This window comes from Homo sapiens, chromosome 8, assembly GCF_000001405.40.
Source record: "Homo sapiens chromosome 8, GRCh38.p14 Primary Assembly".
Classification (NCBI taxonomy): domain Eukaryota; kingdom Metazoa; phylum Chordata; class Mammalia; order Primates; family Hominidae; genus Homo; species Homo sapiens.
The window spans coordinates 11,180,772-11,202,184 of NC_000008.11; the positions used below are offsets into that span (position 1 = coordinate 11,180,772).

The following is a 21,413-nucleotide window of genomic DNA, read 5'->3' on the forward strand; positions in this document are numbered from 1 at the left end:
TGGCCTGCACCTGTAGTCCCAGCTTCTCGGGAGGCTGAGGCAGGAGGAGCACACCAGCCCAGGAGTTCAAGGCTGCAGTGCATTATGATCATGTTATTGCACTACAGCCTGAGCAACTGAGCAAGACCTTGTCTCTAAAATATAAAAATAATAAAATGTTGTAACAATTCATTATGAAAGTCAGGGCTAAAACACAATACAATAATGACATACAGGGTTAGAAGTCTTCTGGACCCACAAGGCTTCATACTTTTTGTTTAAAAGTTTGGGATGTATTCTATGAATGAAGAGGAACCAAAAAAGGTCTTTGACCTGAGAGTAACAAGTGCACTAAGACTTGTTGGTAATGTTGCTTGGAAAGGATGAGAAATGGTTGGTTAATGTCCATCTTTGGTGAGGGGATTTTAAAGGGTTGTTGTATAAACAATTTATACTCAATATTTTCTTCATCAACTGAAGAGTGGTGAACGTTTTTCAGTCAAAAGCTTACATATGTATGATATTTCATAATGAAATTTTTTCTTAAAAACTTATATAAGCATTTTTAGATTCTTTGGTGCTAGACAATGTTTTGACTTTTAGACAGACTGTATTTCAGATGACATGCTTGCCTAATTTTATTCTTGAATATGGATCGCCTTTTTATACAAGCATATTATCAACCTAAAACTAGATTACAAAGTGACTATAGTTTTCTTCTGGTTCCACTCAACAATGAGAACAATTATTTCATAGGGACATATTTGTAACTTGCTTTAACATTGTTAGACCTTTATTTGGAGAATTTATTAATATTTTGAACACATAAGCAAGGTTTGTTTTGTATATTTATATATGTGGAAAGAGGAATAGATAAGGTATATAAAGGAAGAAAATTTGGTGAGGAAGAACCTCATCAATGCCAAGTCAAATCTTCAACACTGTGGGCAGGTAGTGAGCCAGGCAGAAAAAGCTGTTAATATCTAACATTCAGTACGTACTTACTATATGCATCAAGCACTATTCTGAGACTTGGCATGTATTAATTCTTAACTCAAAACAACCCTATGACATAGTATCTTCTTCCACAAAGCTGTTCCTGATTTTTTTTTTTCTCTTGGAGACAGGGTCTGGCTCTGTTGCCCAGGTTGGAGTGCAGTGGCGAGATCTCAGCTCCCTGAAACCTCCGCCTTCCAGGCTCAAGCCACACTCCCATCTCAGTCTCAGTATCACCATGTTGCCCAGGCTGGTCTTGAACTCCCACACTCAAGCGATCCGCTCGCTTCCCAAAGTGCTGGGATTACAGGCATGAGCCACCACGCCCAGTTTGTTCCTCATCTTTCTAACCAAAATAAACACTATTTACAGTATAGGGTTTTAGAGTAAATACCTTGCCCAAGTTAACTGGTCCATGGCAGGGCTAGGGACTTGGGCTCCAAAAGGGAGGACCAGGCTGTTGACCTTGCTATAAGGTGGTGGTGAGCCCCATGACCACAGGTGACGTCGTAGGATGGGGAATTTGAAAGAGCACTCTTCTGACTTAAAATACCACACAGTTCCTTTATTGGAATAATTTCAGCCTTAATGAGACTGGGGTTGTCTTTTTAAACCCTGTCATTACAGGCATCACTGTGGCGCATTAACACCAGGACTAACTTTGTACCTGGTCATGGTCATACTGTGCTGTAGAAGTGCAAGTAATCAGTTTTAAAGTATTTTTAGGTGACATCTGAGACTGGTCCTCAGCTGGTCAGCGTGGCCAGGACACTGATAAGAGGCATATCTTGAAGTCAGATGGGTCACCTGTGTGGATATATTAGCAGTGGTTTTGTTTTTTAAGTTGGGCAACAGTCCTAAGTGAGGAAGAGAAAAAGATTTTGTTTGTTCGTTCATTTGTGTGTTTCAAGTTGTAGTAGAGCTAGCAAGAAATAAAAACATCTAGAGTATTTGTAAAAATTGTTTTAATTGTGGCAAAGTATATACAACAAAATTTACCATCTGAGCCATTTTCAAGTGTACAGTTCAGTGGCATTAAATACATTCACAATGCATCATCAGTCATTTCTGCAAGTTTTTATCTTGTAAAACTGGAACTCTGTGCCATATTAACAGTAACTCCACGTATCCCCTCGCCCCAGCCCCTGGCAGCCCCCTTTCTACTATGTCTCTATGAACTTGACTCCTCCACGGCCCTTTTGTAAGTGGAATCACATAGTGTTTGTCCTTTTATGGTGGCCTTATTTCACTTTGCAGAATGTCCTCCAGGTTCATCCATGTTGCAGCATGTGTTAGAATTGCCTTTTTTTTGAGGCTGAAACATTCCTTTGAATGCGTCTTGTATCCATTTTGTTTATTCACTTGTGTTGATGAAGGCTTAGGTTGCTTCCACTTTTGGTTACTGTGAATAGTGCTGCTATGAATGTGGCTGTACAAATATCTCCTTGAGACCCTCCTTTCTTTTGGATATACAGCCCGAATTGAAACTGCTGGATCATGTGGTAATTCCATGTTTACTTTTTTGAAGAATCATTATATTGCTTTCCACAGCAGCTGCCCCATTCCACATTCCTATCATCATTGCACAAGGGTTCCAATTTCTCCACATACCTGTTAGCACTTATTGTCTTGTGTAGCTCACTGCAGCCTCAAAGTCCTGGGCTCCAGTGATTCTCTTCCTTAGCCTCTCAAGTAGATGGGACTACAGGCATGCGCCACCACACCTGTCTAGTTTTTTTTTTTTTTTAACTTTTTGAAGACATAGGGTCCCACCATGCTGGGCTCAAGCTGGTCTTGAACTCCTGGCCTCAAGTGATCCTCCCACCTCAGCATCCCAAAGTGCTGGGATTACAGGTATGAGCCAGCACACCTGGCTTATTTTCTGGATTTTTAAAAATTATTTAAGATTACATCTGTGCTAGTCAAAATAAACTACAATGTGAGGTTAACCAATTCATTTTTTATTTGATCTTGAAAAGAGGTCCTAAGATCTGTGTTGATTAATATTACTATAAGGCCCCTAAATACGGTTTTTGGAAAGTCTGGCCAAGTGGGCTCATGAAGCGGAAAGGCTCAGGAATAAGGGTTTAAACACAGCATAAGGGTTATAACATTTGCAGTACTATGAACTTTTGGAAGCAATGTACATAGTAGTGTTTATCTGGAGCATGCTTTATACAATGCCAACAAGTCAGGACTGTCTGTAGTCTGGGCAATAATATCCCCCGGCTACAACAGATGATTCCACTGTAAGGGCAAGACTGAGCCGGCACCAGATAATATAAGCAAATATAACGAAAAGTGTTAAAACTCTATTAATAAGATCAGCTAGACAAAAAAATTATCTCATACATAGTGTATATTTGACCTCTACCACCATACAGAGACTGTTAAAGGTTTCAGAGTATAGTTTTATTCTAATTATAATTTGCAGTTTAATCTCTCAAGTACAATAGTCTGAGAAGATAATAATTACTTATTAGCCACACAGGTCACAGATTTTGGCTTTTTAAGAAGAAACAAGAGCCCTCATGCAGACCCCTGGTACAGTCTCAACTGGTGGAGATACTATGTAAAGGAGCTTTTAAATTATTAAATAGCCTCTAAATAAATACATATTTTATATATATATATACACACATACACACACACACACACACACACACACACACACTTATATTACATTTATTAGTAACCTAATTTTTAAAAGCCCATTAAGAATGTCAGAAAATGTAACTTAACACTTGGAACTAACTGAACAGGTATTTTAAGACAGCTGACTGTTAGAAACTTCAAGGCTAGAATGGTAGATTTCTGTTTTTTAAATATTTTATGGTTTTCTATAAGAACTTACAAAACATACTGACCTGTTTCGATGAAAACATTTCTGGTTTGGTTTTACATTTAAGTCATATTTAGATATTTAACACCTTTATAAGGAATTTCTATAGTTTTTTTTCACTTTTGTAGATACGGGAATTCACTATGTTGTCCAGGCTGGTCTCAAACTCCTGGGCTCATGCAATCAACCCGCCTCAGCCTCCCAAAGTGCTGGGAATACAGGTGTGAGCCACCATGCACAGCCTCAATAAGGAATTTTCAGATCATCTGAATCCATCCCCAGGGGTTACTAACACACAAACCAAATAGAATTCCATATATTTTAGTATACAGCACATCCTCAAATAACATCGTTTCATTGACCATCATTTAGTTACACAGTTGATAAGAAAAATCCATTCCCAACCGGGCCACTGTCTGGTGGTTTTTCTCTCTGGGTACCTGGGTTTCCTCCCAGACAAAGCTGGGCACATTAGGTTTATTAACGCATTTACCTGGTCCCAGTCTAAGGACATGGGTGCGGGTGTGAGTGTGAGTGTGCCCTGTGATGGGATGGCACCCTGTCCAGGACTGGTGCCCGCCGTGTGCCCTGAGCTCCTAGGATAGGCTCTGACCACCTGTGACCAGGTGGAATAAGTGGGTAAGAATTATCTCACGTTGCATTAATCTTTCTTAAATATAGGTATGGCTCACATTTATTTCAACGTTTAATGCTAGAAGTGTTTTGGTCTTTACTTAAAAGTTTGGTGGTGTTTTTGTGAACAGAAATATGCCACAGAAACTTAATCTTGTTTGTATCAATTAGCCTATGGGAAAACTGGTTTCCATATACGTAGTTTCACTTCAAATTGCAGTTTCTAAGAACTCACTGATGACAGTGAAGATTTACTGTATGGGGTTTTAGAGTAAATTTCTAAATGTACGTACAATTTTTCACATTTTTTAAATATCTATTTGGTGATCTATATATTCAACAGATGAGAATCAGTAGTCACTTTTAGGGATAGTTTCCTGGGAGATGGCACCCAATAAAGTCTCCAATGATGGGACATGATTTTGAAAGAGTACATTAGCTGTGCTCACAAACCAAGATCCAATCTTTCCTCAACCAGATGAACTTTTCCTTAAGACCTGAAACACTGATGAGTCTTGGGCACATGGCTACAATACTTTTCATTGAGTCCCTGAAGGCCATTTTTACCTCAATGAAATATCATCTAAAGAAAAATTATTTAAAACTCCAGTTGTATAATTTCAAGATAGTTTAGTGTATTTAGTATGACTCACTCTTCATTAAACTTCACAACTATTTTTAAAAGCTAATTTAAATAGTTACCTGTTTGAGCTGATCGATGGAAACAGGGCTTGGGCTATTTCTGTACCACCCTCAGACTAAGAATGCTTTTTATATTTTTCGAGGGGACTGTGCATCAGAGGCCTTCTGTGGCTACACATCTTAAAATACTTCTTTACAGAAAAAGCTTGCCAAGTCCCGAATCAAAACAGAAATCAAAGTTTTAAAGGGAAATCGTCTCTTGTACTCTGCAATCAATAGCATTTTTTTTTATACATACACACACATAGACACATTCATGCCCCCCCATCCCCATCCCACTTTAATCTGGAAGGTACCTGATCTACACAGAATTCTTTGAGTCTCTATCCACCAAAATGCAGTCTACCTCTCCTGTGATGTGAAGGTGTTGCCCAGCCACCCTTGATCTAGGTATGGTCCACGGCTAGTTCTTCACAATGGCATGTGAGTGGAAGTGATGTGTTTCACTTCACTTCAAACCAGGGCTTTGAGAGACAGAGAGAGAGTCTTGCTCCGTTATCCAGGCTGCAGTGGCACAATCACAGGCCCCTGCAGCCTCAACCTCCTGGGCTCAAGTAGTCTTCCCATCTCAGCCTCCCAACTAGCTGGGAACCACAGGTGTGCCACACCACATCCAGCTCATCTATTTTTAATTTTTGTAGAGACAGGGTCTGCCTACATTGCCCAGGTTGGTCTCAAACTCCTGGACTCAAGTGATCTTCCCACCTTGGCCTTGCAAAGTGGTGAGATTACAGGCATGAGACACCACGCCTGGCCCAAGCTAGAGTTTTTAAGAAACAGTTATACTTTCTCTATACTTTCTTTCCTTTCTCTGACTGAATGCTGAGGTGTTGAGCCCTGAGGATGTCGAAGCCACCACCAGCCATACCACCCCACGACAAACAATACTGTTCTACTGTGTTCAGTCACTGACATTGTTGTTATTAGAGCTATTGAGAAAACAGGCTGTAATAATCACTAACATACGCATTGTGGATTTACTGCCTCTCATATTTAACTAACTTCTACTTAATTTGGAAGTTCTCCCAATCACCCTTCAAAAAGAAAGAGAAAAAAACCATGAAAACAGATTGTTTAGACTGCAGAAAGCAGTCTGTTTATTCTACCCATCAGTCTTTTCCTTGACAACTGGCTAGTGTTGCTCTTTTTTTGTTTACTGTAGCTCAGATGATTTATTTAAAACCTCACTATAACCATATTTCAAATGAACCAAAATGTAAAACCATTCCTGCTTCATGTGTGTTGTTCAAATACCAATGCTGCATCAAGAAATTATAGCATCCCACCCTATGGCTAGGTTTTGGAGGCAGAATGTAAAAGTGGACAAAAATAGCTCCACTTCAGTTCTTTATTGTAGACAAGGGCCAACAAAGCATAAGAAAGGTAAGAAATGTCACTTAACCTTGAAACACTATAGGATATCTCCCAAACAAGAACTTCCCAATGCAACTGAAACTTGACATTCTCAAAAGCTGCATCGTGACACCATCGCTGATTCAAAAACATGTCAGAACTGCTGCAACACATGTCTCCGGGACATGGATTCCTTCCCACATGACTGGCAAAATGGGAATGACAACAGTATCATGGAGAAGGAGTGTTGGTTCACGAGTGGTTCTTCCCAGCATGTTAACGTTTTGAAGCTATTGAGGGCCAAGATTTTTTCACAAATAATGAGAAAGACTTAGAAAAAAACAACAAAAAAGAAAACAACCCTAAGAAAAATCAGTCATATCAAAGCACCTTCCTTTTGTGCAAGCAGTGGGCATGGGGGTGGCTGGTTTAGTCACCTCAGTATCTGCTGGGCTCTCCATCACTCAATGATGGTGTGGGGGCACATGAAGGCTACACTCTGAAACAGAGCTTTAATTCTAGTGAAACTGGCCTGCAGAATAAACTAACATCTCCAAGAATGAATCTACATAACCCAGGATGAACATGTCCCAGGATAAAATAAGGCCCCTACAATCATCTGAGTATAATGCTGAGCGCAAGTTTCAAGGAAGAGTTAAGCCTCCCTGTATTTTTACTTCAACTGTCATTGCTTTTGTTAAAGTTCCACTTACAAAGTTACATAGTTTTAAGTAGTCTGGCCTTAATCCTGTTTTTTTTTCTACAGCCCTGTTATTTTTAGTGTATGATTTTGCAGAATGAGAGGTTTTTCAGGAATGTGTGTATCACATTACAGTAGGTATGAGCCCATCGCTAATTTGAGATAGTGAGTTGAAATGCCAAGCAATAAGCAAAAAAATACACTTCAACCTCATCAGACCCCATCCAAAACCAGGTAACATGCCTGACACATATCACATTTAATCATAAAGGCCTGCTTGGGTACACACCAACCCTTTCCCACATTACAGCTCAGAAACTACCTAAAAATTAGTATGCAGTTCCTATCAAATAGTGGACGCCCCAAACACAGTCCACAAATGCTACAAACACATTCAAATTCTGTTTTTCCAAACTCATCATGTGATTGTCTCTAACTTCAGCTTCGTTTTGACAACTTTTGTTTCATCTGCAAACTGAGTAATGAGTCCTTTATTGTAGTTTCTCTTCCCTTCCAACCCACAGCCATATATACCATCACCCTCTAGGCCCAACCAAAACCACTTGATTGCTTAAACTTTGAACACAGAATTCCTTTTTGGAAGACATCATCTTTTCCTTCAGAGTTTTCTTCAGCTTTGAAGGCAAAGTGGCATCTTTTAAATGTACAGTGTAGGGTGATTTATTAACTCTTCTGTTGACTACTCAAAAGCTGTCTTCCTTATGACCAAACAAAATGACAGATTTGGAGTTCTGCTCATTTTGATGCGGAATCACCAACGAGCAGAGGATCTAACCCTCCCTGCCCTGTGCAAGTCCACAGACCCCAGGCCCCACCTCTGCCAGCCCAGCCTCTCCTAGGATTTCTGGCCCTGAGCTTCTCCGTTACAAGGTTCTCGGATTTTCTCACCATCCCCATGTACATTTCTAGGTGGAGTGCAAAGGGAAGGTATTGAGTGTGCACAGATGCAGGGATGCTTGCTGATGTGCCACACTAATATCTTACCAGTAAACACCATCCAACTCCCCCTCATCCCCTCTCCTGGCTGTTCTCCCCACGAATCTATCAAGCAAAATGTAGGTAGGCCATTTTTCTTCTCTGCTCCCTTCTTTCCTGTCTCTAATGACACTCAGTATCTATTAGGTCATGTCTCCTCTTTCATTCACCAGTTTCTTTTTAGGAATCTTATCCTTGGCACTGATTACAACAAATATAACATTTCTGAATTTGAGACACAAAATTCACTGGATTGAAATATCAATTTCCAAGCATAATAAAATGCCTCTAACCTGGCACTTCTGAGCACCAATGGGGATCATCTGTGTTCATAATAATGACCTTGAAATACTTCAAACTTCCAAAGAAAGAAGCTTTTGGATCAAAGGAATCCTCAATTATATGTCATAATTTTAATGTTAAATGTCTTTCCTGCATTCTAAATCCAGGCATAATATATGGCAACAGCAACTCTTTGGTTAATACAGACTTTTTGCCAAGCCACTCCAGCTAAAAGGTCCATTCAGATTGTTTAAATACTGGTAATCCATTAGAATCACCTGAGGACCTTCTTTTATCCATTCCGCCCCTCTAAATCTAAGATGCCTAGTGATAAAAAGTTTACCAAAAACAAAAAACAAATTCCCAAGCAATTCTAACATATGCTCCTTCTCCTTGATAACTAACTCATAGATATTGGCAGAAATCAGCCTGTACAACTATGCTTCTCATCCCTGTCTGTGTACTGCTTAGGGAACTTTCTGAAAACCTAGATTTTTTAAATATATAGATTCTTGGGCCCATCCCAGATCTCTTGGATTACAGTCTCTTATGGTAGATCTCAAATATCTGGCTCCTCAAGTGATTCTGATGCACAGCCAAGGTTTGAAAACAGCTGCTTTGGACGGGTGCAGTGGCTCACGCCTGTAATCCCAGCACTTTGGGAGGCCAAGGAGGGCAGATCACCTGAGGTCAGCAGTTCGAGACCAGCCTGACCAACATGGTGAAACACTTTCTCTACTAAAAGTACAAAAATTAGACGGGTATGGTGGCTCATGCCTGTAATCCCAGCTACGTGGGAGGCTGAGGCAGAAGAATCACTTGAACTCAGGAGGCAGAGGTTGCAGTGAGCCGAGATCGCGCCACCGCACTCCAGCCTGGGCAACAAGAGTGAAACTGTCCCAAAAAAAAAGAAAGAAAGAAAAGAAAGAAAAGAAAGAAAGAAAGAAAGAAAAGAAAGAAAGAAAGAAAGAGAAAAGAAAAAAGAAAAAAGAAAAGAAAAGAAAGGAAAGGAAAAGAAAAGAAAGGAAAATAAAAGAAAAGAAAAGAAAACAGCTTCTTTATATCCTTGGGATACAACTGCTGTTCTCAATGTTTCCAACAGGTCAACAGAGAACCAACATATTTGAGTGCAGTATTTACATGGGACCTGTGGGGTATGCCAAACCTACATATTCCTTTGTGTAATGTGGAAGTCACGGGGTTGTAAGGTGCATCTACCCTGAGAAAGAGAATGGAGTGAGGTACTGAAAACTGTGTCCTAAGACACAGACCCAGAGGTATTAATATTACTCAGCTGTTTGATTCATCAGCAGTTACAATCAACTACAAGACTTACAAGCCTACCCTAAGCTCTGCAGAGTTTAATATTAACACATTAGACTAGACATCAGAGGTCTCAAAGAACCTCAGCTTATATACCAAGAGGCCCCAGAGGTTGAAGAATATCATTCCTCCATCTTCAATAAGCCAGACAACAACGTCCCAGAGGTAAAGCAAACTAATTCTGTCCCGCCCACAGCTCTGTGAGCTCTGGCTTCAAAAGTTTCCTCCACCAGTGCCATAGGTTACTTTATCACTTTAAGCTCACTTCTTCATCTGTAAAATGGGCACAAAATGCTTGTGAAAATTAAGTGAGACTATATATATAAACAGAATATTCAATATAGTTTCCTTTCCTCCTTAGTAATTTCTCTACGCCTCCTCCACTCTCCTTGGATTTTTGTCATACATTCTAACACACTAGCAGGGCTCACCTCAAGTTTACTGCAAGTATCACACACATGTCCTCTCCAACAACTAAACTAGGACATAGGGGGCCTTAGGAGGCACTTTATTGATCTTAGTTTCTCTAAAATGAACACGAAGCTTAAACTCATTAACTGTTTACTGGCAACCCATTCAACAGACCTGATAACTCAGCTCCTAGTTCTATTAATAGGACAGCAGTGGCTATCAAACCTTAAAGGTTAGAATTACCAGGGAGCCTGTTTAAAACACATACACCCACCAACAACAACTACTTAATAATTGATTCCGGCAAGGATTCCCAAAAGACACTAAAACCATAAGGTAAACGGTATTTAGGAAAAGAGACACTGATACTTTGCTAACATATGACCCCACAAGTTACCTACCGATTGCCAAGGGAAAAACTACCTTTATATAAAGAAATCTGGCAGTCGCAACCTTAACCAAGGGATAAAACTTAGCATCACTAATAGTGGGACAAAACACGTATGGGGCGCCTACTGATATGATGCCAACATGAAGAAAGCAGTACTTCTGACAAAAATTTGTGCCTGAATGTAATTCAGCCCCTAGATGCAACTTCAAGTTTACTAGAAATACAGAGTGCAAACGACACCTGCAAGAGACACTCAGGAAACGCAAAATATGAGCAGACAAGAGAAATGGACAGGACACTGGAAAAAAGTCAATGTCATGAGAAAAAAAAAAAAAAAACAGAGAGGGACTATTCTAAAGAAACAGCAATATAATTCATAAATTTTTATCAAGTCCCTGATTGGAGGGGAGAAAAAACCCACAAGCAAATTTGCTGGGGACAACTAGGCAAATCTGAGTACAAAACAGCTATTAGATGATTTTACGAATTAAGGATAATTATGGAAATACTCTTAATTTTCTTAGGTGCAATAATAATATTGTAGCTTTGTAGAATGATTCTAAACATTTCATATTTGAGGTGAAGTATTTAGAGGTGCAACATCAGGATAGGATATGTGTTAAATACACACACATACAGATAAATATATCTATATTAACAACTGGCCAGGCACAGCGACTCACGCCTATAATCCTTGGGAGGACAAGGCAGGAGGACTGATTGAGGCCAAGAGTTCAAAACCAGCCTGGGCAATATAGCAAGACCCCATCTCTACAAAAAAAATTTTTTTTTTTTGTGAGGTGGAGTCTCGCTCTGTCACTGAGGCTGCAGTGCAGTGGCACGATCTGGGCTCACTGCAACCTCCGCCTCCCGGGTTCAAGCGATTCTGCTGCCTCAGCCTCCTGAGTAGCTGGGACTACAGGCGCGTGCCACCACGCCCGGCTAATTTTTGTATTTTTAATAGAGACACCATGTTAGCCAGGATGGTCTCGATCTCCTGACCTCGTGATCCATCCACCTCAGCCTCCAAAGTGCTGGGATTACAGACGTGAGCCACAGCGCCTGGCCTACAAAAATCTTTTTAAACGAGTAAAGCATGGTGGCACACGCCTCAAGCCCCAGCTACTCAGGAGGCATAGGCAAGGGAACTGCTTGAGCCTAGAAGTTCAAGGCTGCAGGGGGCTATACTCACGCCACTGCACTCCAGCCTGGGAAACAGAGTGAGAATCTGTTTCTTTAGAAAAAAAATTACTGAAGCCAAGTGAATGGTAACAGGTGTTCATTATACTGCTCTATTTCCCTGTGTGCTTCAAAGCTTCAATAATAAAAATTGAGCAAAAATACACACTCCCTGGCCCAACTCCCTGAGGCTCTGATCCTGGAGTCTGTAGTAAGGCCTGGAATCCGCATGTTAATGGCCCCGTGGGCTCTCCTAACACAGGAGTCTCTGCCACACTTGAAGAAACACAGCTGAAGTGAGAAAGTCAGGCACCTGCCCTCTGGAGGGGCCTGAGTTCTAGATTGCCCTGCCTGCTCAACTTCACTGGCAAGCTTCCCAAGCCATGGGTTTGGCATCTTCCTCAAATCTGCTGCCTTTCCTCATTTGTCCTGTCTATTTAAGACGGAAAGAAAAGGAAGCATCATGGTGATATGAATGTTTTAGCTCACCTACCCATGAGTGAAAGCATGTGGCCAGGGCAAACCGTAATTATCAACCCTACCTTTCCTCCAAGAGGGTGGTGAAGAAAACAATATGTAGCTCTCTGTGAAATGAATACTCTAATTTCTTCCTAGAAATGAATGATGAGCACAGTCCATGCTCTAAATCAGTGACCAAGATAAAACAGAAATTGCTTCCTCATTTAAACTAAGAAGACAAAAACACTCCATTCAAAACAAAAATTATTTTTTAAACCACTTGTTTAATATTTCAAAAGTAAAAGAGGTCAATGAGAAGAAATTTTTTGTTAGAAATCTGTAAAATACCATAGGGTGCTGTAGTATGTTTTGAGCTATATTAAAATAATACAATATACCAAGATCTACCCACATTAGAAATACAGAAATGAAAAATCTCATGTAGAATTTTATGTAGAACTATATTAATGTCACTGTAACAATAGCCACTGAATTCTCTCAGCAAATTCCATCTTTCCTAAAAATTCGACTAGTGTCAAAAGAGAACTTATACCTTAATCTAAACAAACAAAAAAATTCACTTAACAGAATTATTTCCTAAAAGAGCTCAAGTGACCTGATGGTATCACTAAAAAAATTTTTTTTTTACAAACACTAACTTTTCAAAGTTAAAGAACACATCTCAAACAACAAATTACAGCAGGTAATTTTAAGGTTCTGACCCCCCCCCCCCCACAAAAGAAATTAACCTTGGTAAACAATTCAGAAAAACCTCCAAAATACTTGGCTTAAACAGATACGCATATATTGCTTTAGCTTAATCTACCACTAAAAATTTTAAACAGATTACAAAAAAAAGACTACTGAAAAATATAGTTTAATTTTAGCTGAAATTGCAAATTCACAAAATTAGCTGATAAAGTCAGCACAAGTTTCTCAGTAGGTTTAGTCTGCCATAAATTTTAACATTAACTAATGAGATCTCCAAAATGTCCCTATACATAGGTGACACAAAATGAGAATTTGTTTAATAAGTCAAAACAATCCATGGCAGGACTTAGAACTCTACTCCGAATCAGCACCTAGGAGACATACACACTTGCTTTAAAAATAGATTAAGTGATCAAACCAGAATCTGAAATTCCCTCTTTAAAGCTATTTTCAAAGCACAAATACCTGTAGCATAATGAACTTTTTTACACTGAAGGGACATTAAAGATCAATCCATTTAACTGCTTGTTTGATAAATATGAGGAAACTGAGGCCAGTGGTTGTTTGTAACTTGCAGAGTGAGAAACCTGACTTCTTAATTCCACCAGTCATTCCCTTCATACCAGGCTATGTCCTGCGCTTTTCTTAAGTATCTCCAATAGCGGTAAGCAGTGGATTGTCTTTAGGCAATTAGTCAAAAGTCAATGAACTTGTTAAATGAGGTTATATTTTCATAAATTTTTTAAAAGTTTTACTTTTTAAGAGGCAAATAAGAAATCCAGAATTCCTGATGAGAAGAAACTAGATGAATAGCACATCATGGGGAGTAAACTAAAATTTTAACCACAAACTTATTTGCAGACAGCACGTTGTAAAGCAAATCATCCTGGGGTGAAAATGGCAACATCAGAGACACAGTTTCTTTTTGCATCCCACAGAATCTTTCCATCCCACAGAATCTTTCCAACATTACAGAATCTATCCACTGCACTGCATAAGCCTGACTAGGCAATTGACCTTATGAATAAGTCTATAGTATCAAATGATGTTGAAGACAGAAATGAACAACTTGTGACTTCTAGTAAGCACCTGCCTGCTAGATTTCAGGAGCACCAGCCTTCTTACAATACAGATTTTGACACTTTGTTTCTGGATCCTTCTGGAAATACTATGCTGCATCCCCAGTTGCAATTTCGCTCCAAAGCATGCCATTTTTTCATCCCCTTCCCTTGAAAATTTACCATAAATGTCAAGTTTTTAGGGTTACTGTTCACTCAAAAACAAGAAATAAATCTTTAGAGATGTTCTCTTCTTATTCATTCTCCTGGAGGAAGTATCTCTGTCTCAATTTAACCCACTTACCCTCACAGCTAAGCAAGTATTTCTGGATTTTTCAGATGGGAGGAGGGAGAAGGGAAGAAACCAGGTGAGGCAACTTCATGTGGTTAAATCTGCTCCTTCTTTTCCTTGATGGTACCAAAGGGTCTTGCCCACTGCAACATTATAAAAAATAATCACCCTAGTGTTTTTACAGTTTAACATTTTATGTTTACACCTTTCATTCTTTTAGCATTTCTGTTTACCTAAGGTAGAGATTCATTTTTTTTTCCAAATGGATAGTCAACTGCTAATATCATGTTAAATAATTCTTTTTCTATCCACTGATTAGCAATGCCACCTTTACTATGTACTAAATTCTCACTAACATATCAATATATGTACAGACTCTTTATTCTCCTTTGCGAACTATCTGCTTAATTTCTCTGCACATTGGTCTAATTATTGACACATTATAGCACATCCACTTCCTGATCAGGTAAGTCTCAACATTCTTCAAAGTTTTTTTTGACTACTCAAACACATTTATACTTTTCTTAGATCAATTTTACTCAACTTTCCCCTCAGAAAAATCCCACTGAGTTTCTTTTTTTTTTTTTTGAGATGGAGTCTCGCTCTGTCGCCCAGGCTGGAGTGCAGTGGCGCGAACTTGGCTCACTGCAAGCTCCACCTCCCGGGTTGACGCCATTCTCCTGCCTCGGCCTCCTGAGTAGCTGGGACTACAGGCGCCCGCCACCACGCCCGGCTAATTTTTTTTTGTATTTTTTAGTAGAGATGGGGTTTCACCATGTTAGCCAGGATGGTCGCGATCTCCTGACCTCATGATCCGCCACCTCGGCCTCCCACTGAGTTTCTTTTAAACCAGAATTCCATTAAGTTTATGGATAAAATGAAAAAAAAAAAAAAGCTATTTTTACAATTAGATTGCCACCCATTAATAAGCATATAAAGTACACTCTCTCTCTACCCACACACCCACACAGCCCACAAATGCAAGTATACAATCTATTAATGTGTCTATAATGGTACCCTGGCCCCACACAAACGAATCTCCTCATTTGTAGGTATCTAAATATTGAATATTACCATTCTTAAACCACAAAATCTTAGCATTAGAGGGACATTACAGATCACTTATCCCAACACCACTCATAATCCCAGTTATGTTTCCTCAAGCCTATTTAATAGAATCACTTCAGAATTAAACAGAATTATTATACCTTTCACACGCAACATAAACATTATTTGTATCCCATAAAAGGCAAAGAGAAGTGGGCTACATTTATTGAACACTGTTTTGAATTTGCGAATTCTTTCAGAATGAGATTAATACTTGAGCTCAAAAAGCAAACAAAACAAAACAAAACAAAAAAAACAACAACAACAACCAAAAAAAACAGAAAACATGGAGTACCATTAGTGCATACCCTTGAGTACACCTGAGGTACTTTTAGACACTCATGCTTCCAAGGTAAAGTCATTTTGTTATGGTATTATCCAGGGGCCAAACTTAATGGTACCCGATCATTCCTTTCCCAATTCTGCCATCATATTTATTAAGAACACAAATCTAATATTCCTCTCCAAGTGGAATAAGCCTGAAATCCAGTTCTCAAGCGTGGGGTTCCCACGTGATCACTTGTGGTTCTTCTAAAACTATGACTTCTTGTGTCCTCCCCAGGGAGTCTTCTTCAGCAGGTCCAGCAGTGCCTCGGCCTTTCTATTTAAGTGCTGCAACAGATTCTATTCTCAGCCAGAACTAAGAACCACTCTTGTAAAATAGTCAACATGAACAAAGACCCATAATAAACTAAGTATCCCTACATAGAGGAGCAGACAGGAGGGCAGGGGAGTGATTAAAAAAATAATAAAGCATCTTCACCAGCCCAGCAACATTCACTGCAGATTTTGTAGAGAGCTGCATATCCAAATTCCACCAGTCTCAAATCAGAAAACAACGCTAAAACAGAGCTGTAGACCGCTCAACTGGATGGTGCCATTATAAAATGCAAAATGCCTTTTCCTTTTTACTCTCCTGAAGGCAACCCTCTACCACATCCCATCTCACAAGATAAAGAACCACTGACGATCCTCTTAAATATGGCAAGTGGTATAAACAAGTTAAGTAAATTCCTTTTACTCTGAAATAGAAGGGTGCAAACACACACATAAAACTACATCCATTAAATGGGAGATTAATGATGTGGCCATGAAATTTTGGTCAAAGAACTGTTGCTTCTTGACTGAAGAGAACTGACAATGCACTAAGCAACCTCTAAAAGTAACACAAAAGCAGAGAAAGGACAATAGCAGAAAGGAAAACTTGCATACATCAATGCAACAGGCAAACTAAATCACACTGCTCCTAAAGCCAAACCCTCCAAGAAAATGCTCTCACTCTCTATTAACAACACATTGTACAAAAGTGAAGCCCAATGTGACTCCTGCTCCTGGAATAAGTGATTCACATGCCAGTTATCCCCACAAAAAGCACCTGAAAAATAAAGCACATCAAGCTGTACAGACGCTGTTACATGTTTAGTAATTAGTGGGAGTAAGGCATGCATGAAAAAGACCTTAATCACACACTAGTGCTCTGCAAAGCAGGTTCATGGGGCCACATCATTCTACAGACAACCATTCTTCCATGCTCCAATTTCAGCCCAGCCAAAATATTTTCTTACATTCTGTAAAGTTATTTGATAAAAGACGTCAAGTATTTGCCATCTTGACAGGAATGGCAAGATGCAGAGAAGTGCCCCACTTTAATATCGAGGGAAACTAAGTTTTATTAAATCGGTGTTGTGCTCTGTCCAAGCTATAACCAAATAATTTTACATTAAAAAATGTAAAGAGACAAGTATTCACGGGTTAATGGAATCAGTTTTGACAATGTACAACTTCACTGACATCTTTTCTTAGAGATGCGGCCCAAACCAAATGATAGAAATATTAGATCTTAACCTTTATGTTATGTGACCATAAGAAATAGCAAAGTTTCCACAGCAAATATGTTTAAGGCAACAACTATAACCCCAAAAGATCTTCAATAAAAACAGAGATGATGTATGTTCAAACACATTGACAAGCAATTGTTTGCCGAAAGATTAAAACAAGAATTCCTCTAAAGCTTTTACATATGAATGATTTCAACGCAAACAACATGGCTAGCAGGTATTAAAACAGCAGACCATGTTCCTGCAGTATTTCAAGCAAAACCATCTAACTGGGAAAAAAAATTTTTTTAATAAAATCCTTCCTCAGTAAATACTGCTTTTGAAGTATAGCTATGTTAGAAGAAATAACTTACTAAAATTAGCATGTCTTTTAATAAGTTAACTTTAGGAAATATTTAGAGATATATTCTAATCTTGAAAAAAGATGTAAAAAAAAAACTAGACAGTAAAGTCACAGGCACTTTATATCAATGCAGAGGAAAGTTAAGATCAGAAAAAAAAAAAATACTACCCTACATACAACTACAAAAGCTAAATTGACATTTTAAATGTACTTTTCAGTTTGCCCTAAAATCTGGACTTCCACTTTGCCAAGAAACAATTAACATTTAGGTGAATGGAGGTGGGATTTTATTCTACTCCAATTTCATTCTGTCTCAAAGCTTACTACTAGTAAGTGTCCAGGACAGATTCCATTAGAAACAGTTCTCTCAGGAATTTTAACCTGACACCAACATTTTTACTGCCCACACTTCGGCTTGTTCAGCAGAAGCCTACCAGTACATGCTGCTGAATTCTACTGGTATGTTAAAATCTCTCTTCCCCATACTTTTTGTCCCTCCCCTGCTTCATTCCTGGCATCTTAACAACCAGAAAACAACCCCCAGCCCCCGCCCAAAAAAAAAAAGGTATCTCCAATACCAAACACACTACCTTTCATTCGATATGACTTTGAGTGTGTGGGTGTTTAGGAATTTAGATTTCAAATTTAAAACGTATTTCAGAATTTTATTTGACCCCAAGCTATGCTTATAACAGCTAAAAGTTAATCGGCATTTTCCTATTTTATTCTCTCACTTCTTATAAACTTATCAGCAGGAAACAAATTATCTGCAGACAAATGCAGCTAGAAAAAAAGCTGTTTGGTTCAGCCTAGAAAGGCTAGTAAACAACTCTGGGTGGTGCAGGGCCTACGGAACCACCCTCACTTCCCCTAGCCTGAATTTGCACGTAAATCCAGCAGGAGACAAAGTTATTGCATCTACTCTCATGATTTGACTTAATTCAATCCCATGTTTTCTGAAACGTTTTTATTTAAATAAATGCTGAATAGAGATCTGGACAAACCATTAAAAAGACAGCAGACTTTATTTCAGCTAACCTGGGTATATCTGTTACCTGAACTACTAAATGCCTAAAATCTCCTACTAAGCTTGGAGTCAGGGCAGCCTAGGCAAAATGTCTTCTCACAGAAGCCATGCACTTGAAGAGCTTGTCCCTGTGTAATTTATCTTCAGTAAGATTTTTTTCTCTTGCAAATGCTCTCACCTACAACTCACTGTTTCCAGAATACACACAAGCTAATTTAAGTAAGAGGGCACAGATGTACCCAGGTGTGAATGGGTTCATTTCCTCAGTTTAGCCAGTGAGGCAGTCAGTGAAGGCCACGGCAGAAAGAACACCTGCAAGTGGTTTGTGAGGGACTGAACTGGGACACGGGAAATTTACAAAACGAGAAAGGGCCGCAAAGCCAAGCTTGCGTCTTGTGTAAATATAAATCACTTACACACTGGCCTGGCTACCAAAAACATCGTTTCCCCAGAATAGGTATCCAGGTGGCTTTAACTGATTTTCTGGAGGTGAGAGTTAACACCAAACGCTCGCGCCCATCACATTTTATCCCATTTTTACCTGTCGCTAAGAAAAGGACACGTCTAATCCAGCAAACCAAAAAAAAAAAAAGTCTTTTTTCCTTCTGGGAAAGCAGTGGTTTGGAGTCATTCACAGGGGCTGGGAGTGCAGGAGGGGGAAGGGGCGTGGAATCCAGGAGTGCTCGGAGGCGGCAGCAAGGGTTTTTCCACAGGGCCCCACGCAGGCCACTGCAGAGGGAGAACGGGGGAAGAGGGGAGGATGTCTCACCTGGGAACAAACCCGAATGCAGCGGCTGGAGGAGGGAAGGCTCCCCGGGGCCGCGAGCTGGGGTGCAGCCCAGGGCGCCCGCAGCTGGTTACCTCGGGAGGCAGGGAAAAGGGACGCTTGGGAACGGAGCTCTGCAGAGGGGACGGGGAGGGCAGGTTGGGGCAAGAGCCCCGCCGAGTGCGAAGCGGGGACGAGGACGGGCCAACGGCAGGTCTCGGCCTCCCCGGGCCAAAGGCGTGGCCAGGGATCCAGATCAAACGCCGGTCTTTTGGAGACGCCAGGGGCGGCGCGCGGCCGGTCCCTCCTTCGAGCCCCCCGCGCTGGGCCCTTTCGAGGGGCCGCCCCGCGAAGCACCGGGAGGGCGGAGGGGGGCTCCTCAGGGCCGGCCCGCCCCCACCCCGCAGTGCTCTTACCTCCACACCTGCCCCATCTGCAGCAGGTGGATGACCGACTGCCAGATCCACACGGAGAGGCGACACAGGCGCTGCGCCCCCGGCGTGGGGGAGACCCTCACGCCTGGGCCACCGCGGGCCGCGCCGTGGACGTAGCCGGCCCCCATCATGGGGGGGCCCCGGCTGGTGAGCCCCTCCACGGCGCCCAGCCCGCCGCCCGTGTAGTCCTGCACGAACCAGCGGAAGCTCAGGCTCTGCACCAGCAGCGACGGCACCAGCACGAAGAAGAGGGTCAGCCCGAAGTAGACGTAGTCCCCCTTGCGGTAGTAGTCGAGGGCCAGCCACAGGTCGGTGCCCACGTCCCCGAAGAACACCAGCAGCGCCAGCACGATCCACAGGCAGTCGAGCCACGGCCGCTCCACCTGCGGCGGCGGCGGCTCCGGCCGCGCGGCCGAGGGCGTCGGGGGTTGGCGGCCGGCGCCGGGGGCCGCGGGAGGCTGCAGCGGCTGGTCCCCCCCGTCGGCGGCGGCGCTGCGGCGCGGCTTCCTGCCCAGGAGGGAGCGCAGGCAGGCGGAGCGGCAGCCCCAGTAGCACGAGGAGGTGTTGCAGCAGTGGCAGATGTGCATCGAGCTGCTCTCGCCGGGCTCGCTGCCGTCGCCGCCGCCGCCGCAGCCGCCTCCCCCGGGCTCCCCGTCCTCCTCGCCGCCGCTGCCCACCGCCTCGTCCAGGTTGTGCAGCTGAGCGAAGCCCACCCCCACGCCACCGCCATCGGATTTCGCCGCCATCTTGACTCTCTTCCCAGCTCCGGAGGTTGGGGGGGAGGGACGGCGGGGGGGGGGGGAAGAAGGCAGGGAACGGGGAGGGGGGGAAACGAATGGAGAGGAAGGGGGGCGGGGAGGAAGCGGGGGAGCAAACGAACGAGGGGGGAGTGGGCCAGGGAACCCCCTCCGCTTCCGGGTAGTTGGCGTCACTTCCGGGCGAGCCCCCCAATCGCACGGCGCCCGCAGCTCCCCAGCCCTACCCTCCCGGCCAAGATGGCCGCCCTCCTGTGCCTCAGCTGCTGGGCGGGGGACCGGGGGGTTCTCCCCGCCAGGGCTCCCCTTCCCCTCTTCCGTTGACCCCGAAACCCATCAGGTTGACCCCTCGGCGTTTCAGAATCCGGCTGGCCCGAGTGAGGCGGTCCAAAGTGATCCCTGGAGGGGGCAGTGCCAGACGTTTTGGGGTCCCCTTCCTCAGCGTCGCAGCTCACAGCTTTCCTCCTGGAGAAACGCCCCCTAACACCCTCCCGGCTGCTGGTGGAGGGGCGGGACCTCTGAGGGAAGGGGCGGAGCTAGTGCAAAGCAGGTGATTACGTGTCACTTCCGGGAGATGGGATGACCTCATTGTGTAGTTAGACAACACCCCCCCCCAATCAAAATGTCTATGTCTCACCTCTTTGGCTGTTTCTATTTTCTTTTAAATTTCTCTTATTCTTCTCTTATTTTGAGGGTCTTTAAAAATTACATAAGTCAGATTTTCACAATCAAGTTACTGATTCTCACTTCCATTTAGACACCTCTCCTCTTACCTCTGTTGACCTCCTGATTTTCCTGTCACTGACAACTTAACCACCTTTTGTAATAAAGTTTCC

The 21,413-nt window shown here is 42.1% G+C and overlaps 1 protein-coding gene across 7 annotated transcripts in view, besides 4 other annotated features; it reads right to left on the minus strand.

The window, feature by feature from the left end:
• The window catches only part of XKR6 (XK related 6), a 305,789-nt gene extending 284,727 nt beyond the window's left edge, over positions 1-21,062 (minus strand). For 4 of the 7 annotated variants that reach the window (NR_138153.2, NR_138154.2, NM_173683.4 and 1 more), the window contains exon 1: positions 19,805-21,062. Coding sequence is in view for 3 of the 7 variants with exons in the window: in NM_173683.4 (NP_775954.2) it covers positions 19,805-20,568 (764 nt within the window). In the remaining 4 variants the exon portion in view is untranslated. Of the gene's footprint in view, positions 1-1,923; positions 14,451-19,804 lie in introns of those variants that run through there. The other 3 variants (XR_948899.4, NR_138152.2, XM_011543821.3) reach the window with 2 other exon arrangements.
• Positions 18,666-18,785: an enhancer, noted in NCBI's record as "active region_27001". NCBI's record gives its function as "activates an Ori minimal core promoter by ATAC-STARR-seq in GM12878 lymphoblastoid cells {active_cell/tissue: GM12878}" and the evidence as "EXISTENCE:reporter gene assay evidence [ECO:0000049][PMID:35858748]".
• Positions 19,546-20,015: a silencer, noted in NCBI's record as "silent region_18923". NCBI's record gives its function as "represses an Ori minimal core promoter by ATAC-STARR-seq in GM12878 lymphoblastoid cells {active_cell/tissue: GM12878}" and the evidence as "EXISTENCE:reporter gene assay evidence [ECO:0000049][PMID:35858748]".
• Positions 20,216-20,575: a silencer, noted in NCBI's record as "silent region_18924". NCBI's record gives its function as "represses an Ori minimal core promoter by ATAC-STARR-seq in GM12878 lymphoblastoid cells {active_cell/tissue: GM12878}" and the evidence as "EXISTENCE:reporter gene assay evidence [ECO:0000049][PMID:35858748]".
• Positions 20,656-20,825: a silencer, noted in NCBI's record as "silent region_18925". NCBI's record gives its function as "represses an Ori minimal core promoter by ATAC-STARR-seq in GM12878 lymphoblastoid cells {active_cell/tissue: GM12878}" and the evidence as "EXISTENCE:reporter gene assay evidence [ECO:0000049][PMID:35858748]".
• Positions 21,063-21,413: the final 351 nt, after the last annotated feature.